Source organism: Homo sapiens, chromosome 11, assembly GCF_000001405.40.
Source record: "Homo sapiens chromosome 11, GRCh38.p14 Primary Assembly".
NCBI lineage: Eukaryota > Metazoa > Chordata > Mammalia > Primates > Hominidae > Homo > Homo sapiens.
Window position 1 is genome coordinate 1,624,978 of NC_000011.10, and position 8,298 is coordinate 1,633,275.

General features: G+C 53.7%; 1 protein-coding gene across 1 annotated transcript, besides 1 other annotated feature; it reads left to right on the top strand.

The window, feature by feature from the left end:
* Window positions 1-4,797: 4,797 nt before the first annotated feature.
* On the top strand, window positions 4,798-5,953 carry KRTAP5-5 (keratin associated protein 5-5). Its single transcript, NM_001001480.3, has one exon. The coding sequence runs from the start codon at window positions 4,864-4,866 to the stop codon at window positions 5,575-5,577; it is 714 nt and encodes a 237-aa protein (NP_001001480.2). The 5' UTR covers window positions 4,798-4,863; the 3' UTR covers window positions 5,578-5,953.
* Window positions 7,534-8,033: an enhancer, noted in NCBI's record as "H3K4me1 hESC enhancer chr11:1653741-1654240 (GRCh37/hg19 assembly coordinates)". NCBI's record gives its function as "activates a minimal SCP1, AML or CMV promoter by ChIP-STARR-seq in naive H9 embryonic stem cells {active_cell/tissue: H9 hESC(naive)}" and the evidence as "EXISTENCE:reporter gene assay evidence [ECO:0000049][PMID:30033119]".

Below are 8,298 nucleotides of genomic sequence, written 5' to 3' on the forward strand. Positions count from 1 at the left end.
TCTGAAAGTTTAGCCCCAAAGAGCGTAACATGCTCCAGGAAAGAATGAAGGCGGAATGCTGAGTACTGAGCCCGTGGTGGTTTGGTGACAGAACTCCAAAGGCTGAATCAACATTGCCGCTTCTGCAAATCCCTGGCCAGTCTGCCGTGGCTGTCAGGGCTGAGGAGGGTGCTCATAGCTAGCTGCTCCTAGATGCTCCTCGGAGAGGTCATAAACCCAAAGATAGGGGATCAATTTCTCCAAAAAGGACAAAACCAAAACATGACCCAAGAACATGGTGACAAAACGTCCTTCAAATAGAAGAAAACAGGAACACAGCCTCCAAAATGGCAGAAATCTAAGACGACAGCACCTGGGACTCGGGAAAATCATATGGACCCTACACAATTGGGATTCATTCCAATTAAAGGAGTGAGGCAGGGATAGGCAAGGCAGGAAGGGCTGAGGACAGTAGAATGAAGACCAACATTGAGTAATTAACTACACGGGCGATGGTGAGTTACGGAGCCCACCTGCATTCCCAGAGAGAAAAATTAACCTGATGACATCTCTGCTCTCCACCTCCTCAGGCCCCTTCCACAACCTCCAGGTGGGTGGGGGTTAGAGCCATGGAAGGACCCGGTGACCTAGGGCAGGGGTCCCCAACCCTCAGGCCACAGTCCATGGCCTGTTAGGAACCAGGCCACACAGCAGGAGGTGAGTGGAAGGCGTGCAAGCATGACCTCCTGAGCTGCACCTCCCGTCCCTTCAGCCGCCACATTCGATTCTCATAGGAGCCAGAACCCTACTGTCAAGTGCGCACGCGAGGGATCTAGGGTGCGTGCTCCTTACGAGAATCTAACTAATCCCTAATGATCTGAGATGGAAGAGTTTCATCCTGAAACCAGCCCCCACCCACCCCCTGGGTCCGTGGAAAAATTTTCCTCTACAAAACCGGTTCCTCGTGCCAAAAGAAGGTGGTGGTTGCTGCCCTCGGGTGCTCTTGAAAATGGCCCTGCATTGTGGCTGGGCTGCTGTCTCCCTGGTGGGCGGCGATCCTGGCCCCTCACCACACCCGTGGGCCAGCACTGTCTCTACCATCTCGTGGGTGCTACTGTTTCCATACTTTTCTTATTTTTATATTTTCCTTTTCGTAGGCTTTTAGATTCTCTTTTCTTGCTTCTATGGACTTGCTGAAGCTTCTTTCTTCCTTTCTCCTCTTTTTCTGCTGGTTTGCACTGATGTTTTTGTTTCTACTTTTCCCCAGTGGTGACTGTGAACATTTTAACATGCATGTTTAACGCAGTCTGAGATCAGCCACTATCTTCCCCTGGCCCCTCACAGAGGCAGGTGCTCCCCTCAGACTAGCATCTCCTGTGTCAACCTGAGTGCCGTCCAGTGTTTCAGATCCGCCTCCTTCCTGTACCCCCAGCGAGTCATGAGCATCCTACCCTTCATTTCTTCTTTATATACAGCACATTTACCTTCACGAGAACCTCATACTTCCTTCCGGAAATTATCAATTTGAAGAAGACACTTCTGTCCCTCAGCTCATGGTCAGGCACGCCATAGCTAATTGTTACACCTGCTGAGGTGGACGTGTGAATTCTCTCCCTCAAGGCACTTTTGTAATGAGTTACAATGATACATTTCCTGACGGTGAGCCATCTTAACATTCTTGGAACAAACCCTACTTATGACTTGCTATTTTTAAATAATCATATTGGAGTCTTTAATATTTGATTCAGAAATTGTGTGTATTTGTTAATAACGAAATGAAGTTAAAATTTTCTTGTGTTTTACTGGCCTTACCTTTTTCTTTTTTCTTTTTTTTCTTTTTTGAGACAGAGTCAAGCTCTGTCACCCAGGCTGGAGTGCAGTGGTGCAATCATAGCTCCCTGCAGCCTCGACCTCCTGGGCTCAAGAAATCCTCCCACCTCAGCCTCCCGAGTAGCTGGGACTACAGGTGTGCGCTCACAGGCCCAGCTAATTTTTGTACATTTTTGTAGAGATGAGATATCACTATGTTACCCAGACTGGTCTCAAACTCCTGGGCTCAAGTGATCCTCCCACCTCAGCCTCCCAAAATGCTGGGATTGCAGATGTGAGCACCCACACACAGCCCTTTTCATTCTTCTCTGTCAGGCCCCAAATGTTCCTGGGTGGTTCTGGCTGGGGGTCTGAGGCTGCATCCCCTGAAGGCTCGGCTGGTATTGGACCCACTTCCAGGATGGTACATGCCTTGGCTTGTGGGTGGGAGGCCTCAGCTTCTCACCTGCAGGCCTCTCCACAGGGCTGCTATTGGCACAGGATCTGGCTTCACCCAGAAGGAGTAGTACTGAGAGAGAGAGAGAGAGAGAGACAGAGAGACAGAGAGAGACAGAGAGAGAGGCAAGTGTTGTACCACCCTTCATGTCCTAGCCTCCAAGCCCCGTGCCATCATGCTGTCTGCCGTCTTCGTCGCGAGAAACATACTGTGCTGCTGGCCTTCTCCTTGTTGCTTCTTCTGCAAGTCCTTCTGCTGGAGCCTTCTCTGCTGTGCGGCATCAGCCAGCACTTTACTATCCCAGGAAAAACCGCCCCTGAGCCTTCCTCTCATCTGAGTGTGGTTTCAGGTGGTGGAGGAGTGAAAATCTGTGGGGTCAGCCTAGCTCGTTTTAGGAGGAGAAATCCTTCCAGCTCTCTCTTACCTGGTGCCCCCTTTTCTGTTGGGTTCTTGATCTGGAGCCTACAGATACAGGTGGACATCAGATCCTGTCTGGATACTGCACAGTTTTATGTAAAGTTGTGTGTTTTTGTGCATGTTTGTAGACTTGTTTAAAGAGAGGCTCTGTAAAATTCCACAGAGGAATCTACGAACCCACAGTAGTTAAGAATGGGTCTGCAGAGGTAGTTCCTAATGTGGAGCACAGGAGCAAAGTCTACAACATACTCATGTCTGCTTTACGCTGAAAAGGTGAAAAAAATTAAAATTAACTAAAATTAAAATAGCAAATGACTAGACAGGAGCATATGCACCTTATATAATACACACATTTCAGGGGGCATTTGCTCAAAAGCTACATAATCGTGGGGTGCCCCACGGGACAGGGTGAGACCACTGCCATGTTGATTGTTCCATCAGAGCATTGTAAGAGGCCCTCTGATGATCCTCTTTGCCCAATTCAGCGAACCCGAAGGTCATCAATGGACCACGAAGAACAAAGGCCCATGAAAGGGAAGATGTTCCCAAAGTACAAAAGGAAAAGTCCTCTTGTACCCGAGGGAAGGAGCTGATCCAAGGGTGTCACTAGGAGTCAGCGCGGGTGTTGATACATTACTTCAGGGGCTGGAGGCAAATATACGAGGTACTGGAAGCAAATGTATCAAGCACTGGGACAAATGTATCAGGCGCTGGATGCAAATGTATCAGGCACTGGATGCGAATGTATCAGGCGCTGGATGCGAATGTATCAGGCGCTGGATGCGAATGTATCAGGCGCTGGATGCGAACGTATCAGGCGCTGGATGCGAATGTATCAGGCGCTGGATGCGAATGTATCAGGAAGCAAATGTATCTGTTGCCTCTGTTCCAGAGCTGGAGGATGCCGCCTCTGGTGGGGACAGCCAACACAAGGCGGCTCTCTCCTAATGGGTTTTCTGTTCCTCCCTGAGATACAGTCCCCTGCCCCAGAACAGAGTGGGGCTCCAGCATACACGGCAAGAGTCACCGAGTGCCAGCTGGTGTTTACACCGTGGCCTGAGGCCTGTTGACTGGGCTCGGGGCACTCACAGGTATTGTGGTCACGGGGGCAAATGGCCATCCGGTTCCCTGCTCTCCACCGGCTTTCTTTAGCATCCAGTGGGCCTGCACCCGAATGTAGTTGCTGCTTCCCAGGCTGAGCCCGGGACCCGGAGCAGGCGGGCACCCAGACAGGGCATCCTCTTCCGCTCACTGGCCCTGAAAGGGCCTCTGCCATCAGCCTGTGCCGCTGTCCGGGAGCCCCTGGGCCGGCCACGCAGTGGGGGAACCCGCTTCACAGCGACACCGTGCGGCGGCAGGAGGAACCGCTGCAGGAGACAATGCGATCTGGGTCCTGACCCAGCGCAGAGGCAGTGTCTGCCCCTTGCAATGCTTGGATTTCCTTCCTCAAAAGGCAGCCTTCGATGATCTGAAATTCAAGTTCCAGCAGGCATCCTGTACTGTATCTGTCAGCCCTGCCACCCGAGTGGTCTGAAAGCCCTGGAAGAGACCGCGGTTATCACAGGAGAACACTTTCCATGGGGAGCACGCAGCAAGCTCCAGAATAAGCGCTTAAAATCCCCGTCTCAGTCAACACTGCAAACCTTCCAACAAAGTCTTACACCGAAAACGACCCTGCTGAGCTGAGGGCTGAAGCCCCAGGTCCTGGGACCCTTGGAAACAGCCCGCGGGCCAGGAGCTGCTGTGGACCGTGAAGGTGTAGGGCCTAGGCACGTCCCAAGCAAGACACGATGCTCCCGCAGAGGAATCTTCCCGGGAGCAAGCCAGGAGTCCTGGGCTCAAAATCACCCTCGGCAAGACCAAGGCCTCTGAGCGAGCCACTGCCTGCCCATCGCTTCCTTCTTGTCACATGGAAAGGGAAACTCACCGCGGGGCCAGTGTTTACTGAGGGGCCGCTTCCATCACAGACCTGACAGCACATTCGAGAAAAGTGCGAGGAAAACAGGAGTTATTTATAAAAATGTAAAGCAGAAGAGAATACTGGGACCAGTGGCACAAGCAGGAACCAGGAAGTGACAGTGTGCCCAGCCTCTCACCTGACCCTGGACAGGGATATAAAGAGCCCGGGCTCAGGGGGCTCCACACCTGCACCTCCCTCTCACCTGCTCCTCTACCTGCTCCACCCTCAATCCACCAGAACCATGGGCTGCTGTGGCTGCTCCGGAGGCTGTGGCTCCGGCTGTGGAGGCCGTGGCTCCGGCTGTGGGGGCTGTGGCTCCGGCTGTGGAGGCTGTGGCTCTGGCTGTGGGGGCTGTGGCTCCGGCTGTGGAGGCTGTGGGGGCTGTGGCTCCGGCTGTGCGGGCTGTGGGGGATGTGGCTCCGGCTGCTGTGTGCCTGTCTGCTGCTGCAAGCCCATGTGCTGCTGTGTGCCAGCTTGTTCCTGCTCCAGCTGTGGCAAAGGGGGCTGTGGCTCTTGCGGGGGCTCCAAGAGAGGCTGTGTCTCCTGTGGGGTGTCCAAGGGGGCCTGTGGCTCCTGTGGGGGGTCCAAGGGGGGCTGTGGCTCCTGTGGGGGGTCCAAGGGGGGCTGTGGCTCCTGTGGGGGGTCCAAGGGGGGCTGTGGCTCCTGTGGGGGGTCCAAGGGGGGCTGTGGTTCTTATGGCTGCTCCCAGTCCAGCTGCTGCAAGCCCTGCTGCTGCTCCTCAGGCTGTGGGTCATCCTGCTGCCAGTCCAGCTGCTGTAAGCCTTACTGCTGCCAGTCCAGCTGCTGTAAGCCCTACTGCTGCCAGTCCAGCTGCTGTAAGCCCTGTAGCTGCTTCTCAGGCTGTGGATCATCCTGCTGCCAATCCAGCTGCTACAAGCCCTGCTGCTGCCAGTCCAGCTGCTGTGTCCCCGTGTGCTGCCAGTGTAAGATCTGAGGCTCTGACTGCAGACTGCAGGTGGCCTGACTGGTGAAGGGCCCGGCTGCCCAGCTTCCTTGCCCTGGGTTCTCTGGTGCTCCACTGTCTCCACTGTGTCCTCACTGGCTTCATCCACTCCACACCAGTGCTCCCGAAACTGACTGAGGACCCCTTCTGGCTCATTGCCTACTACTTCTCCTGAACTTCCTCTCCCTGCTCCTCACTCATTTAAGATCCAAAGCGGCCCACTGAGGCCCCAGAGGCAGATCAGACCCCTTAGACCCTGACAGCTGCTCCTTCTTTCAGGAGTGTGATCGACCCTCAATCTCTCTGGCTGTCTGTATATCAAGACTGAATCCTGACCCTCTAAATAAACAAAGTCTCTAAGCACAAAGCTCACTGTCTTGTGGTTCTCTCCTTCCCACCTCTCTCTCATTCCCAGAAGCACCATCTTCTTGCCTCCACCCCTGGGCCTGTTCCCATTTCTCTCCCCTCAGCATCTTTCATGTCATGGTCCATGTCTTCATGCACAGAACTAACGTCTATAGCTTTCTGCTCTGGGCCCCTTGTTGTGTTGGGCTCCAGAGATGACAGAGCAGAGTAAATCCAAGCTCACAGTCTGGTATGTGGGGAGAGGTGGGGAGAGGGAAAGGTGGTGAGGGCGGTGGTGTCAGCCGTGGAGGCACTGCCGTCCCGTGGGAGGGAGGGAAGCTCAGGGCCAGGCCACTTCAGCGGAAGGATGAGGAAGGGTCTGTATGCTGAGCTGTGCGGTACATCAGGCCCTAAGAAGCCCCTAGTGCATGCAGGAGCCAGACGTGGAGATGCGGAGGAGCTTGGGCTTATCTGCAATCTCACAGGGCCTTGAAAAACCAGACAGGAGAAGGCAGGACTGCACACAACGCCAGCTGCGGGACACAAGCTCGAAGGCAGCCGGGAGTTGAATAGATCCCCACCTCCAAAAAAAAATTCCAGAGCTGGGGGAGCCCAAATGCCCAGTGCCTTCTAAGGCAACCTAGCCTGGAGACAAGCTTTCTTTCAGCTTTTATTTTGGGTTCAGGGCTGCATGTGCAGGCTTGCCATATAGATGAATTGCATGTCATGGGGGTTTGGTGTATAGATTATTTCATCAACCAGGTAATGAGCATAGTACCCAATAGGTGACTTTTTGATCCTCACCCTCCTCCTGCCCCCGCCACCCCCGCCAAATGCACCACAGTGCTGTTGTTCCCTTGTGTTCCTATGTACTCAGTGCTCAGGTCTGACTCATAAGTGGGAACACGCGATATTTGGTTTTCTGTTCCTGCATTAGTTTGTGAAGGATATTGACCTCCAGCTCCATTCATGTCCCTGCAAAGGACATGATCTCATTCTTTTTGATGGCTGCACAGTATTCCATGGTGTATAAGTACCACATTTTCTTTATCCAGTCTGTCATTGATGGACATTAGGACGTTACGTGAAGATGAAGGTAGAGGTTGGGGTGATGCTTCTATAAGTCACAGAGGACCAAGGGTTGCCAGCAAGACCCAGAAGCTAGAAGAGACCAGAACAGAGGCTCTGTTGCAGCCCCAGAAGGAACCAGCCCTGCCCACCCCTGCATCTCAGACTTCTGGCCCCCAGGATTGGGAGAGGGATGTTTCTGTCATTTGTGGTCCTTTGTTAGGGCTGCCCCAGGAAGCGAGTACAAGCGGTGGCTCAGTCAGAGCAGGAAAAGCAGTCATTCAGGGTATTTTCTGTCGGGGGGATCTAGAGTGGAAATCAGAAGCTTATGTTCTCGATGGCAGCTCTGGGACCTGGACTTCCTGGAAGGACTCCAGCTGTCCACAGCAGGGGCCCCTGGAGACCTCAGGTTTCCAAGCTGTCCTGGAACCCTGAGCTCCAGTGCACCTGCCATGTGGTCCAGGGACAGGGAGCCACCTCACCGCCACCTCTGCCACAGCCACCTCAGGGCGTCCACAGGCTGGTGACAGCACTGGGGTGTGCGTCTACCCAAGCCTTTCTCTGGGGAAGCAGGTGACCAGCTGCAGCGGAAGCCACAGGTGCACAGCTCGCCCTCATGCGCAGCAGCACTTGAGCCCTGGCATGGGCCTCTGCCTGCCTTCCCTTCCAGACCTGGGGAAAGGCATTCGATTGGCAGGACCTCATTCTCACCCTGGCCTTGGAATTGACATTTTTATCTTCTAGCTCATGCAGTGTAGACAGGACCGGAGGAGGGGGTGGAGACTCTGTGGGTGGGGCTCGCCTACTTCCTGCCTTTTCCCCCCTCAATTATCCCCCCACTAAGGCTTCTGTAGCCCTGTTACTGTACCCAGGGAGGGTGTCCAGGATCTTGGCTTCTCAAACAAAGAATTGGACAAAACGCACAAATAAAGCGAGGAGAGCAAAAGCTGGGATTTATTGAGAAGGAAAGTGCACTCCACAGTGTGGGAGCAGCCGAGCGGAATTCATTGCAAAGGAGAAAGAATGTTGTGGAAGTGAGGTGCAGAACAGACAGGATGCCCTGGGCGAGACAGGGTGCAGGGCGGGCTGCTCACAAGGATGAGAAGCAGAGACCGGCCTGAGGGAGGCTCCCTTTATGGGACTCTTCCATGATTATTCCTAAGGAGCTGGGAAGAGGTGTTGCTAGGAAGCATGTTCTGGGTGGTCCTCTGGGTGCATGTGTGCAGTAGCTGTACACGCTTGTTCATACCATTCATGTCTCATTAGCATCTTAAATCTCCACCCAGAGATGTGCTTTAT

Excerpts from the sequence above, each read along its gene's own strand:
- KRTAP5-5 (NM_001001480.3), top strand. The coding sequence starts at position 4,864 with ATGGGCTGCTGTGGCTGCTCCGGAGGCTGTGGCTCCGGCTGTGGAGGC.